We start from the raw sequence: 20048 nt of genomic DNA on the forward strand, positions 1-20048 counted from the left end.
ACTTAAATATTTACAGATTGCTTAGAAGTTCACAGTGTACTAAAATTTATATTAATAAAATTCTATTGATTGGACCACCTAAAGTCTGTTCCATACCAGTCTCTCTTTTCCCCTCCAACCACAGATGCTGGATGGTTTTCCTGTCTCCTCTTGAAGATAGCAGTGTATTTGTGAGCCAGGTCTGGCCCATCAGGCATAAAAAGGGACAAATGGAGCTGGCATGGCCTTTCTTCTTTCACTCGGCCCTCTTTTCCGTTGAACACAAACATGATGTTGGACACTGAGGGCAGTCATGTTGCAACAAGAGGTAGTGAATATAAGAGAAATGCCCAGGCAAATCCACCCTGACAATGAGCTGGCAAGCTATTCTAGCAGCCATCTCCCTCTTGACTTTCTACAATGTGAGATAAAAAAATCTTCATAATTTAGCCACTGTAAATAGGGATTTCTGCTCCTTGTAGATAATCCAGGGATCAATAAAGCAATATACTTTCAACTGAAAATTAGTATTTAGGGTTAAACCGCATACTAGATTGCAATTAAACAAGTACTGAAGGTTCATACACACATCAGTGTTAACTTCTTTGCTACCTCTGTCTCAATGGATATCTTAGCCCAGCCTATTCATTGTAAGTACAAAGAAAATATTCAAATTAGCTCCTACAGAAAGGAGAGTTCCTAAGTCAAGCACTCTCTCATTGAATACAGGGTAAGGAAGTTTGACCTGTTCACTAAGGTTTGGAACCAAGGAGCTTCTTTCTCCCTAATCTATGATACCCCATTTCTGCTTCTCCTAACACCTGCTTCATTATTTGCTCTCTGTCTCTTTGCAAACTTTTTTTTTTCATTTGTCCCTTGATTTATGTGGTTTAAAACAAAACAAAGAGATGAAAATGGTTTTCCCTTGGATACCTTCTGGGTCACCTTAATTACCAAAGCCAAAGATTCCCACTTTAGCTTAGAAAATTAAAAAAAAAAATTTCAATGTCTTAGTTTGTTAGGATTACCATAATATAATACTGTAGGCTGAGTGACTTAACAGAAATTTATTTTCTCACAGTTCTGGAGGCTGGAAGTCCAACATCAAGGTGTCAGAAGCACTTGTTTGATCTGAGGTTTCTTTTCTTGGCTTGAATTGGCCGCCTTCTCCTTGTGTCCACATGTTGCACACATCACTGGTGTCCTTTTTTGTGCCAAATTTCCTCTTTTTATAAGGACACTAGTCAGATTGGATTAGGGCCTACTATCCTCGTTAACTTAATGATCTCTTTAAAGGTTTTATGCCAAAATACAGTCACATTCTTGAGTACTGAGTGTTAGGGCTTCAACATTTGAATTGTGAGGGAATACAATTCAACCCATAAACGCAATTTACCTGTGCCGCCTTCCAGGCACATCCTGTGATTGAAGTTGGAAGAAAAGCGGCCTGCAGATAGCAAAGAAAGGAAGGCAAAATGGCATTTGGGATACAATCAATGAAAGAATCAGCAACTATTTCACTCATGCTTACTTCTACATAAAAATTGCTACCCCAGGCAGAGAGAGAAATTCAACTATTAATTAGTAAATTAGAGAGATAAGAGGGATAAATTCAGCTGCCACATTGAAAATGTATATATTGAGTGTTAAACATGTGGCATGGACAGTAAGTGTTATAGCATTATAGGGGGAGAACAATCTTGTTCAGTTGTTTAGAGAAAGACCTTTGGATCCCTTAAGGAGAAAGACCACAAGATGAGGCTGACCAGGAGGAATGATTATTCACCCAGCAAGTGGCTGGGAAAAAGAGGGCTTTCTTAAGGTCTGAAACAGCAACAAGAGACAGAAAAAAGGAAAACTTCTTGTAGGAATAGTAGTATCATTTTAAGGCAGGGAAATTGGTACAGAGAGAGATGATAAGCAAGATTGCAAGACAGTTTGGTATAAGATTGCTGAGGCTTTAAATATCTTTGTAATGTGTGTCTGTTCATGCAGTCTTGCAAGAGTTAAGCTGAACCCTTTTCTATTTTGACGTCTGAATTTTCTGACGTCTCTGAGCTGGCCATCTACACTCTCCTCCTGAATTAATACAGGGTTTGGGGTGACCTGGAAGGTCAACTCTTAAGATAATTAGTACCGAAGAGCTGCACTCTCGCCATGCTGCCATTTCAGTCTTCTCAGAATCTAGCAATTTTTCATGATAAATTGAATCTAATAACATATTTTTGCAGCCAAGATACATGGTGGATCATTGTCTTGTCACTTTGATAAAATGTTTGGGCTTTTTTCCTCTGGCCCAGACTTCACAAGAGAGCAGGTGAAAAATCTGCAGTTATGTCAAACCTAACACAAATATAATAATTCCTGAAATAGCAACTTGAAAATAATTAATTTTTTGAGTAAAATAATCCAGGAATATTGACTATGCTCCATAATTCAACATTTGTTGTGTTTCTGTTTGCTAAAGGTTTTAGGGTTTCTATAAGAATGGGCAGTGGTAGTTTCAATAAAGAAAAATGAGAGGCAATATTTTGGTATTGTTTTGGCATCGTACCAAAAACTTATTCTATTCAAATGTGTTGAAGGGAGTATTCTGGTATTCATGAACTAAAACTGTATCCTCTGTAAGTCAAGTCCCTCTCAGACTTAAAAAAAGGAGTTTGTATAGTGAAATGAATTATACGACAGGGTTTGGAATCCAACAACCTGGGTAGGTCTAGACTCTGTCAATTAAATCATTGTGTAATTAGGAGTAGGTCATCCTGTTTGCCTGCACCCAGTTCTGCATCAGCATGTGTAAAATGCAGTCTAATAATGCTGAGAATAGGAAATGAACATGATGCACAAAAAGAATTTATAGGACAGTGCCTGGCCCAAAGCAAGTGCTCACAAATTTACTTGTTAATAAAATGTCCTTTGACTCTACATTCAAGATGTTCAGATTAAAATGAATACTAACTTTTTTTTTAATGCATATAACCAGAATTTTTCTTTGTCTTTTGAGGGTAAATACTTTAGAATCATTTTTTAAACACTTTTATTTTAAGGTAAAATAAAAATATTTTTAAAACACTAAAAACATAGCTGAGTAAGTTATTATAAAGCAAATTATTCTGGTCAAGAATTATAACCTTTCCAGCCACCTCTGAAATACCTGTCATGTGTCTGTTCCCAATTACAGTGGTCTTTCTCCTTCAAGAGTAACTATTGTTCTGACATTTATGGTATATATTTTCCTTACATTTTTATAGATTTACAACTGAAATGTGCTTTGGCAGACAATATAATTTATCTTTCTCGTGATTAATTTTAATAGTTTTAAAAGTTTCCTGTATTCTACGATTTCCCTTTTATTCCTTTCAACAAGTCCTTTATAGTTACATCAAATTGGCAGCTGGGTCCAGATATAGGATCAGATTAAGATTAGATTTTATTGGCAAAACTATAGGTAGTGCTTGGCAAGCCGATATGAGGCACATGACATCTGACTGTCTCTCTTTTTATGAATTTAGCAACCATTAATGATTAAACCCTGTATCTATTTATTAAATGAGAGTTGCAAAATGGGCATAAGCTAATTTTATCATTTCGGTTTCTATTTATAAGTTGTGATACTTTTATCAGGAGACAAATTCCCTCATCTATTCATGGGTTATTCAGTGCAACAAGTTCTTATAGAAAAGAGTGGATAAATCCTTATTTCCCTTTTCTTACCAGTTTCTATGATAATGAATTAGTTCCCTATCACCCTTTGGAGGTGATCAATTTACAAAAATGTCATTATGAAATCATGAATTTAAACATATTTGATGGGTTTCATTCCACTGTGAGTATTGTAATTATTGAAGTATGCATATTCCCATGTTTGGCTGATGAGAGCCTTTTTAGGTGGTACCTGGGTCCATTTGACATGATCCCAATAGTTTTTGATATCATCCTTGCTCTTTAATATTACAAAGTGTAAAAGTTGTACATTTACAACTCCAGACTGGGAATTAGCTATTTCTCCAATGATCCCTGCTTATTTCTTACAGTAAGAAATGGTATTTAAAGGCCATAATCTGGACTCTAAGGATGTTCATTACTAATGGATTGATATAAATATACCATCATATATGTAAATGATATACATATATATGGTATATATATACAATATGAAATAAACTACCTCATATGTTTACATTTCAGACTACAGAAATTTTATTTTAAAATTTTAAATTATATTCATGTCTCCATTATCCCACATAAGAAGAATTCTTCCTTGAAAAACATCCTGATTTTCAAAAACAGAGAGATGATAGAATTAAACAATGCTGGAATTATTCATTTGATTTATGACATATTATGAACACATAGACTCAAAAAGAATATTAATACTACCACCAATATTATTACAAAATCCATTAAAACTAGTTTTGTGTATGCACTTTTAATTCTCCATTTTTTTCTATATTTTCAGAAATTATGGTCATTAGAATTATAGTCTCCCCCTTAGCCCATAATTACTCTTAGTTCTGCAGATAACTATATATTTTTTGCTCACAACCAAATCTTATGTCAATATCTCTCTAGGTATTTTCGTTGTCTAAAGCTCATTCTTCTGGGGATTTCCTTAAAACATGCCCGCTGGAACAATATTCTCCTTGTTTCTTAATGCTGATAACTTTAGTACCTTTTATACTTGAGAGTTTTATTGGATACGGTATCGTTGACTCACACTTTCTTTTATCATGAGTTAATATGCCATTCATTTTTTAATTAAATAAAATTGTAAACAAATACTAATAGTATTCTAATTTTATTTTTCTTATAAATTACACGGTTTCATTTTCTAGGTATCCAAATGGTTTTTTATATTAATTTTTACTTAAAATTTAGTCATTTTACTAGAATATGTTTTGGTGGTTTTTGTACTAAGTTGAGGTTTATTTTCCCAGAAATTGTATTATACCATGTTGCTTTCTCAACATATAATTTCAAAAAAATATATATAATATCAATATATACACATAAGTTTGTGCAACATTTTCTTAAATTACTGCTTTTAATTTTTATTTTGTTTCCTTACTTTTTTAAAAATCAGTGATTTCTATTATGTGTCTATGTAATCTTCTTTCTCTATGCTCAGTATTGATGACTGTCACATCAATTCTTTTCATTCATCACCTGTTCATTTAAAAATTATTATTCATTAGATACAGTAAAATTTTAGTGTACAGTATTATGAGTTGTGGTTCATGTATAGAGTCATGTAATGAATACCATTATCAAAATCTAGATACTAGGTGCCATAATACCTCAAAATTCCTTTGTGTTAGCTCTTTGTAGGTACACAGTTCCCCCAATCCTAATTCCTGGCGAACACCAATCTGTTGTTTTTTTCTTTTCCATAATGTAATGTTAATGGAAGCACACAGTATGCATTCCTTTGGTTTCTTTAACTCAGCATAATGTTTTGATAGCCTTCCAAGATCTAGGTATTCTTGTGTGTACATGTGTGTGTATATGTACATGAGTAAATTCTTTAACTTTTTCTACAAAGACATCATGTCATCTGTGAAAAAAGATATATTTGTGTCCTCCTTTTCCAATGTGTATGACTTTTGCCTTTCTTTTTCCTTGTCTTACTGCACTGGATAGAACTTCCCATAGGAATTTGAATAACAGTGATTAGAATCAACATATTTACCTTGACCTGAATCTTATGGAAAAATATTCAGCTTTTTTGTCATTAAGTTTTTGTTATCTATTAATTTCGGTAGATAGCCTTTTCCAACTTAATGAACTCCTCTTCCATTTTTAATCGGCTGAGAATTTTTAAGCATGATTCAATGTTAAATTTCATGAAATGCTTTAGTTAAGGTGATCGTGTAATTGTTCCTCTTTAGTTCATTAATGTGGTGGATTTTATCTACTAATTTTTTTCTTTCATTTTTTAAATAAACTTTGTATTACTTTATATTACTGGGTATACTTTACTTACATTTTGAGAAGAATCTGTGTATGTATATTCATGAGACATATTTATCTGCAGTTTTCATTTCTTGCCATGTCTTTGCCTGGTTTTGTTATTAAGGTAATGCTAGCATCATAAATAATTTGGGAAGTATTATAAAATCTGTTTTCTGGAGGAAATTGTATAGAATTTTTACTACATCTTCTTTTAAATTTTTAGTAAAGTTCACCAGAGAAATAATCTGGTCCTAGAAATTTTCTTTTTTGGAAAGCTTTTAAAGTATGAAATTAACTAATTCTGTTTTTTGCTTTTTTAAAGTATAGGTTATCTATTTTTCCTTAGTTGCTTATAGTTTGTGTCTTTTGAGATATTGGGCTATTTTGTCTAAATGATCAAATTTATAAACATCAGGTTTTTCATAGTGTGCCCTATTATATCTCAAATATCTCTGATTATTTGGTTACCTGCTGTCTTTTATTGATGATATTGGTAATTTCTCTTCTCTCTTTTTCCAGGCTTTCTAGAATGATATTTTATTGATTTTTTTTTTAAAAAGTAGCTTCTGGTATCATACATTTTCTTTATTATTATTCTGTTTTCAATTACATTTACTTCTGATCTTTGTAATTTTAAAAATTCTGTTTCTATTGGTTTTATTTTTCTCTTGTTTTTCAAATTATTAAGTTAGAATATTCGTTTTTTTTGTTTGTTTGTTTGTTTTTTGTTTTTGTTGAGACGGAGTCTTGATCTGTCACCTAGGCTGGAGTGCAGTGGCACCATCTCGGCTCACTGCAAGCTCTGCCTCCCGGGTTAATACCATTCTCCTGCCTCAGCCTCCTCAGTAGCTGGGACTGCAGGCGCCTGCCACCACGCCTGGCTAATTTTTTGTATTTTTAGTAGAGACGGGGTTTCACCATGTTAGCCAGGATGGTCTCAATCTCCTGACCTAGTGATCCGCCCGCCTCGGCCTCCCAAAGTGGTGGGATTACAGGCGTGAGCCACTGCGCCTGGTCCAGAATATTCGATTTTTAAAATTTTTCTTCTTTTTTCTTTTACAACATGTAAATTTAATATTGTAAAAGTTCTGAAAACTATTTTAGGTAAAATGTAAACTTAAGATAGGTTATATTTTCTATTCAGTTCAAAATATTTTCCAAATACCTTTCAGATGTTCTCTGACTCATAGACTGTTTGGAAATGTATTGATTAATTTTCAAAATTTATTTTTAGATTGTCTAGTTGGTTTCCTGTTATTGATTTCTAGTTTGAATCCATATTGGTCATAGAATATACTTTGTATAATTTTAATTATTTTAAATGTGTTAAAGGTTTTTTATGCCCCAAAATAGGTTTATCTTGGTGAATATTCCATATACACTCAAAAGAAAGATGTATTCTGATGTTGATAGTGGAGTGATCAATATCTGTTAGATCCATTTTTTTGCTTGTGATATTCAGCTCATTATTTTTTACTTTTTTTTCATTTAATATACTTGTTCTATCATTAGTGAGAAAAGAGGGTTGAAGTCTCCAATTATAATTTTGGATTAGTCTATTTCTCCTTTCAATTCTGTATGTTTTTTCTTAATGTATTTTCAATTTCTGCTATTAGACACATAAACATTTAGGACTATTATGTTTTCTTGATGAATTCACCCTTTTGCACTACATAATGTCCCAGTTCACTGTTGGTAGTTTTCCTTATTATATAATTCACATTGTCTGATATCAGTATAACCACTCCTACTTTCTATCATTGTTATCCTTTAGGGCTTTTGATGATAAAAATATTAGATCTTAGTAAAAAATGTGTTTATTTGTCATCAATATTTTTTCTTTTGTTGCAAATGGATTTTTTTATTGATCAATCATTAAGTTTATTGGTGTTTAATCTTCCATCTCCATGAGTCTGTTAAGTCCATTCAATATATATCCTAAATTTTTGTTATTGTATGTTTTAGTTCTAAATTTTCAATTTGATTTTTCATTATATTATTTATTTCTTTGCAGAGAATTTCTAATTTTCCATTTATTATAAAAATGTTCATTCTTACTTCTTGGAACATAATTAGAGTGGCTGACTAAAAGTCCTTGATTACTCCAGTATCTGTGTCATGGCTGGCATCTCTTGATTTTCTATTTCCTTGAAAGTTGATATTTCCCTGGTCTTTTGAATGTCAAGTGATTTGTGGATTACATTTTTTTATTCTAAATATTTTGAGATTGTGGGTTTTCTTTACATGTTAAGGAGAATGTTGATTTTTCCTTACTTTCTTAAAGCAGGAGATATATCATTAGTTTCAGCACACAAATCTCAGCTCACAGAATAGGACTCATCTCTAGCAGACCTGCTTTACAAGACATGTTAAATAAAATATGTTTTATGAGAAGGAAAATGACACAGATCAGAATTCTGGATCTGCATAAAAAAGAACAGCATCAGAGAAGAGGTCAAAGAAGGTTAACTAAGATATCTTATTCTTTATTGATTTAGAAGATAAATGTGTGTTTAAAGTAATAATGGTAAAAACACACTGGTGGTGGTGGCAGGTGCCTGCAGTCCCAGCTACTGGGGAGGCTGAGGCAGGAGAATGGCATGAACCTGGGAGGCGGAGCTTGCAGTGAGCCGAGATTGCGCCACTGCATTCCAGCCTGGGCGACAGAGTGAGACTCTGTCTCAAAAAAAAAAAAAAAAAAAAAAAAAAAAAACACATTGGTGGTCTATAGCACATGGATAAGTGAAAAGAATGACAGAACTTTCATAAGAAATTGAGAGTGAAGATTTGGGAATACTCTGTTCTATGTTACCTACACTCAATGTAAAGCAGTACAGTGTTATTTTAAGTAGACATAGATTCATTAAAACTTGCAGGTGTGGTAGCTCATGCCTGTAATCCAAACAATTTGGGAGGCTGATGCAGGCAGATTGCTTGAGGCCAGATGTTCCAGACTAGCCTGGGCAACATAGTGAGACCCTGTCACTACGAAAAATTTTTTTAAAAAATTGCTGAACATAGTGGTGTGCACCTGTAGTACCAGCTACACAGGAGGCTGAGGAGGGTGGATTGCTTGGGCCCAGGAGTTTGAGGTTATAGTGAGTCATGATTGCACCACTGCACTCTAGCCTGAGTGACAGAATAAGATGGACTTTCTCTCCTTTTCTCTCTCTGTCTCTCTCTCTCTTTATATACATATATATATACACACATATACATATATACATAAACATATATATATAATATCTATTTGTGTGTATGTGTTTGTGAATATCAAATTCTAGGGCAATAACTAAAATAATTTTTAAAACAGATATAATTGTTATGTTAATAGAGATAATAAAATGAAACCGTACTAAATGTTCAACTAAAACCAGAAAAGTAAGAAAAAGAGACAAGAGAAGGAAAAAGTACAAGAAAAAAGACAGTTACAATGATCATAAATGCCAATCCCACTATATAAATAATCACTTTCAATGGGAATGGTCTAAACAATAAAAATAGATTGTCAGAAATTAATATAAAATCAGCAGCCAACTTATGTCATCCCTCACCAAAGTTAAATACAAAGCCATAGATTAAAATAGAGAAATGTATACCTTGCTAAAACTAATCAAAATACCTCTATATTAGATATATTAACTTCAGACAAAGCAGACTTCGAATAAAGAAAATTTATGAGATATAAAACAGGCATTATATGATAAAGGAATGTTCTCTAAGAAGATATAACAATCTTTTCCATGCGTGCATCTAATAACAGATTGTGAAGATATATAAGGCAAAAACTGATAGCATTGCAAGAAATTTTTTTTAAATGCACCATTAAAGCTGTCAATTTCAGTATCCTTCTTTCAGTATTTGATAAAAAAGACAGACTATCAGGATATATTTGACTTGACAGCATTTTCAACCAACTTTATCTAATTGACATTTATCAAATACTCCATCTAGGAACTGCATAAAAATTCTCAAGCTCTCATGGAATATTCACCCATAAAACACATGTTAATAAATTTGAAATAATAGAAATGATAAGAAGTATGTTCTCATATACAACAGAGTTTAAATGGAAATCAATAACAGAAAGATACCTGAAAAGTTATCATTAATTTGGATATTAAATAAGACACTTCTAAACAATACATGGGTAAATAATTGTCAACAAAAACTTTTAAAATATTTTTAACTAAGTAAAAATAAAATTGTAACTTATCAAAAATCTGTATGATTCAGTAAAAATGGTACTTAGAAGGAAATTTATGACATTGAATGCACATATTGGAAAATAAGAAAGTTCTAGTCTGCAATATAAGATTCCACCATTGGAAACTAGGAAACAAAAAGTGATTTAAGCATAAAGCAGGCAGAACAATAATGAGGATGATAAAAAGAAGAAGATAAATCAATGAACTTTAAAGATAAAAGCCACAATGTCAAAACTGATTCAGTGAAAAGATCACTAAAAGTGATAAACCTGTATGCTGGTTAACTAAGAAAAAAATGAGTTTTTAAAAATAATTTCAAATTTTATTTTAGATTCAGGGGGTACTTGTAGAGGTTTGTTAGATGGGTATATTGAGTGATGCTGAGATTTGGAGCACAAGTGATATTGTCACCCAGCTATTGAGCATAGTACTCAGTAGTTAAGGTTTTCAACCTTTGTCCTCTTCCCTCATTTCACCCTCTCATAGTCCCCAGTGTCTATTGTTGCCATCTTTATGTCTATAAGTGCCAAATACTTAGCTCCCACTTATAAGTGAGAACATGCATCTGTTCCCACTTATAAGTGAGAACAGAACTATTCTGTTCCTCCAATAATTCGCTTTGGATAGTGGCCTCCAGCTGCATCTCATGTTACTGTGAAGACAGGATTTAATTTTTTTTATGCCTGCAGATATTTCACGGGTTATATGCATCACATTTTCTTTATCCAATCTATGATTTATGGACACCTAGATAGATTACATGTCTTTCCTATTGTGAATAGTGCCACAGTGAACATGCTAATATGTGTTTCTTTGGGTAGAATGATTTGTTTTCTTTTGGATATATACCCCAGTAGTTGGATTGCTAGGTCAAATGGTGATTCTGTTTTAAGCTATTTGAGAAGTCTACAAACTGATTTTCACAGTGGCTGAACTAATTTACATTTCCTCCAACAATGTATAATTGCTCCCTTTTCTCTGCAGACTTGCTAGCATCTGTTGTTTTTTAACTTTGTAATAATAGTTATACTGACTGGTGTGAGATGATATCTTGTGGTTTTAATTTGCATTTCTCTGATGACTAGTGATGTTGAGCTTTTTTTCAAGTTTGTTGGCCACTTGTATTTCTTGTTTTGAGAAACATCTGTAGATTTTTTTCCCCATATTTTCATGAAATTATTATTATATAATTATTTTTATGTGGAACTGGGAGTCCATTAAACTTCTTTTTCTTTGTAAATTTCCCAGTTTTGAGTATTTCTTTATAGCAGTATGAAAATGGACTACTACAATATCTTTGATGAATGCTATGTAAGTCAGTAGCATTTCTATACACCAACAGTGTCCAAACTGAGAACCAAATCAAGAAGGCAATCCCTTTCACAATAGAAAGAAAAAGCATAAAATATCTAGGAATACAGCTAACCAGAAATGTGAAAGATCTCTGCAATGAGAATGACAAAACACTGCTGAAATAAATCAGAGATGACACAAATAAATGGAAAAACATTCAATGTATTGGAAGAACCAATATCATTAAAATAATCATACTGCCCAAAGCAATTTACAAATTCAAAGCTATTCCTATCAATCTAGCAATGTTATTCTTCACAGAATCAGAAAAAAATTGTTATAAAATTCACATGGAATCAAAAAAGAGCCCAAATAGCCCAAAGCAATCCTAGTGAAAAAGAACAAAACTGTAGGCATCATACTATTTGATTTCAACCTATACTATAAGTTACAGTAACCAAAACAGCATGGTACTGGTACAAAAACAAACACATAGCCTGTGTTAGCCCCTTTTCCCACTGCTGATAGACATACCCAAGACTGGACAATTTACAAAAGAAAGAGATTTAAGGTACTTACATTTCCATATGGCTGAGAAGGCCTCACAATCATGGCAGAAGGCAAGGAGGAGCACGTCACATATTACATGAATGGCAGCAGGCAAAGAGAGAGAGATTGTGCAGGGAAACTTCTATTTTTAAAACCATCAGATCTTGTAAGTCTCATTCACTATCATGAGAACAGTGCAAGAAAGACCCACCCCCATAATTCAATTGCCTCCCACGGGGTTCCTCCCACAACACATGGGAATTGTGGGAATTACAATTCAAGATGAGATATGAGTGGAGACAGAGCCAAACCATATCATAGACCAATGAAACACAAGAAAGAGCCCAGAAATAAAGCTACACATCTATATCATATAATCTTTGACAAGGTTGACAAAAACAACTAAGGAGGAAAGGACTCCCTATTGAATAGATGGTGCCAGGATAACTGGCTGGGGATATGTAGAAGATTGAAACTGGACCCCTTCCTTACAACATATAAAATTATCTCAAGATGGATGAAAGGCTTAAATGCAAAACCAAAAACTATAAAAACCCTGGCAGATAACCTAGGATTTACCATTCTTGACATGGGCCCTGGAAAAGATTTCATGACAAAGATGCCAAAAGCAATTGCTACAAAAACAAAAATCGAAAAATTTGACCTAATTAAACTAAAGAGCTTTTACATAGAAACTATCAACAGAGTACACAGAGAACCTACAAAATGGTAAAAAATGTTTGCAAGCTATGCATCTGACAAAAACCTAATATTCAGCATCTATAAGGAACTTAAACTAACAAGCAAAAAGCAAACAACCTCATTAAAAAGTGGGCAAAGTACATGAACAGACACTTTTAAAAAAAAGACATACATGTGGCCGACAAACATGAAAAAATGCTCAGCATCACTAATTATTAGAGAAATGCATATCAAAACCACAATGGGACCCCATCTCACACCAGTACGAATAGCTGTTGTTAAAAGGAAGTAACAACAGATGTTGGCAAGGTTGCAGTGAAAAGGAAACACTTATACACTGCTGGTAGGAGTGTAAATTAGTTCAGCCACTGTGGAAAGCAGTTTGGTGATTTCTCAAATAACTTGAAACAGAATTACCATTTACCCAGAAATCCCATTGTTGGATATACAACCAAAGGAATATAAATCATTCTATCATAAAGACACTTGCATGTGTATGTTCATTACAGAACTATTCACAATAGCAAATACATGGAATCAACCTAAATGCCCCTCAGCGGTGATTGGATTAAAAAATTTAGTACATATCCACTATAAAATAGTATGCAACCATAAAAAAGAACAAGATCATGTCCTTTCCAGCAACACAGATGGCGCTGGAGGCCATGCTCCTAAGCAAACTAACACAGGTACAGAAAACCAAATAGTGCTTGTTTTCCCCTATAAGAGGAAGGTAAACACTGAGTACACATGAACACAAAAGTGGGAACAGACACCAGGGCCTACTTGAAGGTGGAGGATGGGAGGAGGGTCTACCTATAGGATACTATGCTTATTATCTGGATGATGAAATAGTATGTAAACCAAACTTCTGTGACACACAATTTACCTATATAACAGACCTGCCCATGTACCCCCAAAACCTAAAATTAAAGTTTAAAATAATAATACCTACCAAATGCTGGCAAGGATGTGCAGCAACAATAACTCATTCGTTGCTGGTAGGAATATAAAGTGGTTCAGTTATTTTGAAAGACAATGTAGCAGTTTTTTTACAAAACTAAATGTAAGCTTACCATTATATCCAGCAATTGTGCTCTTAATTATTTCCTTCAATGAGCAAATCTATGTCCACACAAATCCGCACACAAATATTTGTAGCAGGTTTATTCATAATTGCCACAAATTGGGATGAGCCAACATGTCTTTTAATAACTGAATGAAAACAAAACAAATTCTCATGTGTAAAAATTTTAAAAAGCAACAGACATGGAGAATATATTGGCAAAACACATGTCTATTAAAGGACTGGTATTAAAAATATAAAAGAATAGCCAAAACTTAATAATAACAAAACAAACCACTTTTTAAATAGGTAAAATTTATGAACAAGTATCTCATCAAAGAAGATAAACAAATATCATAAGGATATGAAGAGATTCTCAACATCGTTTGACAGTAGCGAATTACAAATTAAAGGCAATGAGATACCACTACACACCTATTAGAATGGCTAAAATCCAAAAATCTGACAATGCTAATAATTGGTCACAATGTCAAGCATGGTAAAATCTCATTCAATGCTGATAGAAATATAAAATAGTACAGCCACTTTGTAAGACAATTCAGCAGTTTGTTACAAAGTTAAACACAGACCTACCCAGCTATCAAGCAATCACCTTTTTCGATACATAACAGAAGTGATTTTAAAACTTACGTCCATGTAAAAACCTGAGTGGGGATTTTCTTCATAATTGCCAAAATATTAGAAGGTACTAAGATTTCACTTAATAGATGAATAAACAAACTGTGATACACTCACACGATGGCATATCTTTCAGTGATAAAAATAAGCTACTAAATAATGAAAATATATAGATAAATTGTAAACTTTATTACTAAGTGAATGAAGCCAATTTGGAAAGATTACATAACATATGATGTCAATTTTTGACATTCTGAATAAAACAAAACTGTAGCAACAGCAAAAATATTGCTGGTTGACAGGGAGAAAGAAATGGAAGGTTGAATAACTAAAGCACAAAAAAATTGTTAAAACAGTGAAACTCTTCTATATGACACTGCAGTGTTGAACACATAACACCGCATTTGTGAAAACCCTTAGAAATTTTCAGCACAAAGAGTGAACATTATGTTTGCAAAGTTTAAACAAAATTATTTAGGATGTGAGAGGACACCAAGGGAGAATGCAGAATGTGACAAAACAATGTCACTTAATTACAAATATATGAAGCAATGGTGAAAAGAAATGATGCAGACCTAAGAAACTCTGATAATCAGCAGAGTCTATAAAACTGAAGACAAAAGATGAATTGATAAATATGTGTTTCCTAGGAATACAGTTTGAAAATTCTAAAGCCACTATGCCTGTATCCCGGAATTCAATAATTAAATAAATGGATGGCCGATGTTGGAGGCCAAGTTTCTTCTGGTTGAAGTGGAACTTTTCAGATCAGGAAGAGGAAGAGGCTACAATGTTCCATTGGTAATGGATTAGAATTGTAGACATCAATATGAACTGATGCTTAGGTTACTATAGATACATATGGTTATATATAGATATATGTATGTATGTATCGATCTCTCCATATGTATTCATTTGTTTGCTCTGTCAGCTGAGAGGGTTTAGAAGCAATGACACTACAGTACAAATGAGCACATCTAGTACCCAAATTCTGATTTTTAATGCCATTCTCCAATAAAAGAAATCAGGAGCTTATTGGAGAAATGGTTAATGCTAGAAGAAAAATAGGAAATATATAATATGATCCTGGATCATCTTGCAGCCTCAGAAAATAAGAGAGAGAAAGAGAGAGAAGGAAAAACCCCTACAATGGCAGAGATATATCAAAATTTATAATGGCCAAAGCTGGAAGAATTTGAGCAACAACATAAATAAGTTTTACATTATAATCCAAAGTATAAAAAAGATAGCCATGAATCCATACCAGTATAAATAAATAGGAAAAAAGACAAATCTCATGTCTTGAAGGATTACAAATAATTTATGTACATACTCTACCCTTAAAAAGGTAGAACATAACCCTCTAGTTCTTAACTATGGACTGTGCATAGTTACTTTCTTCCCAAGAGTAATGCATGTTAACAGGAAAAAAAGAGTAACTTAACAGAGGAGAAAACTGACAAGCTCTACATCTGCCAGGTGATTAAGGTTAACATCAACAATGATGCGTCATGTTGATATGTACTCTTGATGTTGTATAATGAAATAGGATTTTAGATCTGTGGTCTTGCTCCAAAACCTCCAATAACCCAGCGTAATAATGTGAGAAACATCAGACAAACACCAGTTGAGAGATAGTCTACCATATTCCTGACTAGTACTTCTCAAAACTCTTTGTTAAGGTAATCAAAAACAAGGAAACTCTGATAAACTCTCACAGCCAAGAGGAACCTAAAGAGAAATGATAACTAAATGTAACCTGATATTGTGGACTGGATCTTGAAACACAAAAAAAGAACATTAAATAAAAATGAGTGTAAGACTTTAATAATAAAACACCAGGTGTAGAGTATATGATCAAATTAAAATTTAAAGACTTAAATACAAAACCTGAAACTCTGAAACAACTAGAAAAAAATCATTGGGGAAATGCTTCAGGATATTGGTCTGGGAAAAGATTCTTTTGAGTAAGACTTCAAAAGCACAGGCAATAAAAATATCTCTGTACTATATTCATGATTTTTTTTGTAAATGTAAAATGATTGTAAAATAAAAAGCTGATTAACAGTAAATTGTAGTAGTAATTTGGCAGTAAGATAGTTTTGTGTCCCAAAGTTGTTTTCTCTCTCAATGACTTTTAGATATTGGCAATTTCTTTTTCAATTTTAATTTTTATAGATTTAGGGGGTACAAGTGCAGTTTTGTCACATGGATATATTGTGTGGTGGTGAAGTCTGGACTTTTAGTGTAATCATCATCTGAATAGTGCACATTGGTACCCATTAGATAATTCTCATCCCTCACCCTCCTCCCACTTTCCCACTTTTCTGAGTCTCCAATATCTACTATTCCACTCCCTATGTCCATGTGTACACATTATTTAGCTCCCATTTTTAAGTGAGAATATATGGTATTTGACTTTCTTAAGGTAATGGCCTTATATATTATTTAGCTCCCATTTATAAGTGAGAATATATGGTATTTGACTTTCTTAAGGTAATGGCCTCTAGTTTTATTCGTGTAGCTGCAAAAGACAATTTTATTATTTTTTATGGCTTGACCGGTATTCCATGATATATACCACTTTCTCTTTATCCAATCACCCATCGATAGGCACTTAAGTTGATTCCATATGTTTGTTATTGTGAATAGTCCTGCTGTAAACATACAAATACAGGTATCTTTTTGATATAATGATTTCTGTACCTTCTGGTAGATACCCAGTAGTGGGATTGCTAGATAAAATGGTAGATCTATATTTAGTTCTTCGAGAAATCTTCATATTGTTTTCCACTGAAGTTGTACTAATTTACATTCCTGCCAACTGTGTATAAGTATTCCCTTTCTCTGCATCCTCCCCAACACCTGTTAAGTTTGGTTTTTTAATAATAGACATTCTGACTGGTATGTGATGGTATCTCATTATGGTATTAGTTTCCATTGCTCTGATCATTAGTAAGGTTGAGCGTTTTTTCATATATTCTATAGCCTTTAATTAAGCCCTTTATGGCTTCAGGAACAGTGTTGTGGGGCTTTTCAATAAGGCTTTTATTTATTTTCATTGTATAATCCCAAAGATTAATTTAGGCTAAATGGGGTAGAGCTGGGCGGCAGTGAGCAATGAACAGCCAGGAAATGGGTAACTTTCCTGGATGCATCGATAACTTTATGGCTGACTCAGCAACCAGTAACCAGGTGATGGTGGGAGCACATATAGATAGGACTGTGAAAGATTTGGACAGTAAGCCACAAACTAAATCAATCCCTGTCTTTTGGAATTCCTTAGATTATAGGCCAAGGTCACTAGAGGCTTTTAAAAGTTATATTACAAAAGAATTGACAAAGATAAATGCAAAATGGCTGGTGGTTGAATAGATTCCCATATTTTACTGATGTGGAATATTAAAAAAAAGGAAGGATTTAACTCAGAGCTAAATTTAACCATGACTGCATTTGGCCATGGCTAAGTTAAAGTCTCCTAGACTTACTTCTCCAAGTGTCCGGTTCCTTAGGCCACTGCGCCATGAGTCTTTAGTCAGCACTTCAGACAAATGCAATTTACAGGACAATTTAAAGTTATCAGAAGCAGCACAAAAACATTAAATAGAAAACCAATCAAATCTTCATATTCCTTATTTTCAGCATGTGTGACAAGAATGTTTCAAGAGATAGTCTATTGAATCCATTGAGATGCCCCGTAAGTAGGCTGTGCATCCATGCTAATTATAGAGCTTATCATACTTCCCAGAAAATGTGCAGTTGTAACAATCATATTTATTAAAATATGACTTTCTCTCTCTTTCTCCGTTAGCTGTATGTTTCAGAAAAAATAAATAGCTAATCCAAAATCTTGGCATAGTGAAATGCAAGAAACATAGGATTCTGGAGGTTTTTCAGTGTTTTGAGCATAAAGACTAAACATGCCACAGGAAAAACTGTAAATAGAGTGAGGCTTCACTTAGTTCTCCCTGATTAATTTTCCTTGTCATGGTAGTCAATTCATTTTAATCTCAACCTCAGTCTCATTTTCTGTCCAATGGAAATAAGAATCCATGTCAAAAACCTAACTTTCAATATAAAATGATGAACATGAATAACATTTTTTGATAAGTATCAAAATGGTTTATGCAGAAATGATTCAGAATTAAGTTACAATAATTATTAACAATACCACCACAACAAAGAAATGGCATGGAAAACTTGATTTGCCTAGAAAGCTCACTTGGTTCAGGCTAGAGCCTAGATTCTGAGTATAATCCAACACAATCCACTTAGTTTTGGATAAAGTGTAGGACTGACTCTACATACCCCCTGTGTTCCAGAAGGACAAATGTTTCCACTATCTACTTTTGAAAATGCATTCTCAGCAAGAATGAAAGGCATCACAAGTTAAATAAGGGAGAGGAGTGCTCATTCATACCACCTGTCTCTCTGTGGAATGACTTGTCCTTTCTTTGTTCCTCATGACATTTCTGTCCCTCCTTCTAAATCCATCTTACTTCCTACTCCTTTTTAACTCTTTATTTTGGTCAAGTAGATCTCATCAATTACTCCACTTTCACTGCTCTGTATGAGCCTGGACATCCCAGGCTAATAACCTATCATCAACAGTACTGTGTTAGTCAGAGTTCTTTAGAGGGACAAAACTAATAAGATATATATATGAGTTTATTAAGTATTAAATTACATGATCACAAGGTCCCACAATAAGCTGTCTGCAAGCTGAGGAGCAAGGAGAGCCAGTCTGAGTCCCAAAACTGAAGAATCTGGAGTCCCATGTTCAAGAGCAGGAAGCATACAGCACAGAAGAAAGATGTAGGCTGGGAGAGTAGGCCAGTCTCGCCTTTTCACATTTTTCTGCCTGCTTTATATTCACTGGCAGCTGATTAGATTGTGCCCACCAGATTAAGAGTGGATCTGCCTTCCCCATGCCACTGACTCAAATGTTAATCTCTTTTGGCAGCACCCTCACAGACACACCCAGGATCAATACTTTGTATCCTTCAATCCGATCAAGTTGACACTCAGTATTAACCATCACAAGTACCATTTGCTAGTTGGAACTGACAACGTCATTCTTTACACTCCACCCATACTAAGCACACCTGGCGTGCTTATACCTCAGCAACTTTGCATGTGCCTCCCTGCCTGCATTGGAGCATCATCCCTCTACCTGTCCTTTTGGAAAATTATTATTTATCCCTTAAGTCTTAGTTCTGTGTTTCTGCGAAAACTTCCCAGACTCATCCAAGCCAACTGCATCAATCCATATTGCTGCTTTTAGTAACACTCATTTACTATGTGTTTCCTCAGCACAATACACCTTTTCATCATTTTATCTTCTTCCACTTCTTTGTAAAGCTTTTGTCATACAGCTTATCAATACATACACTGACCCCTTTTATTGAGGTATAACTGATACTAATATTCTGCACATATCTAAAGTATACAATATACTTTAATGAGGTAAGATTGTGACCATATTCATCTAATAGATATCTGTTTAATAAAAATGGTTTAATCTCAAAAGCTGGTACCATTTGTTCTTGATTTAATTTTATTTTTTGGCTTTATCAAAGTATAATTGACCAATAAAATTTGCATGTATTTAGGATGTAGAGTCTGTTGAATTTGCATTCCATGCCAGTCACTGCAGAGTG

This window comes from Homo sapiens, chromosome 18, assembly GCF_000001405.40.
Source record: "Homo sapiens chromosome 18, GRCh38.p14 Primary Assembly".
Taxonomy (NCBI): Eukaryota; Metazoa; Chordata; class Mammalia; order Primates; family Hominidae; genus Homo; species Homo sapiens.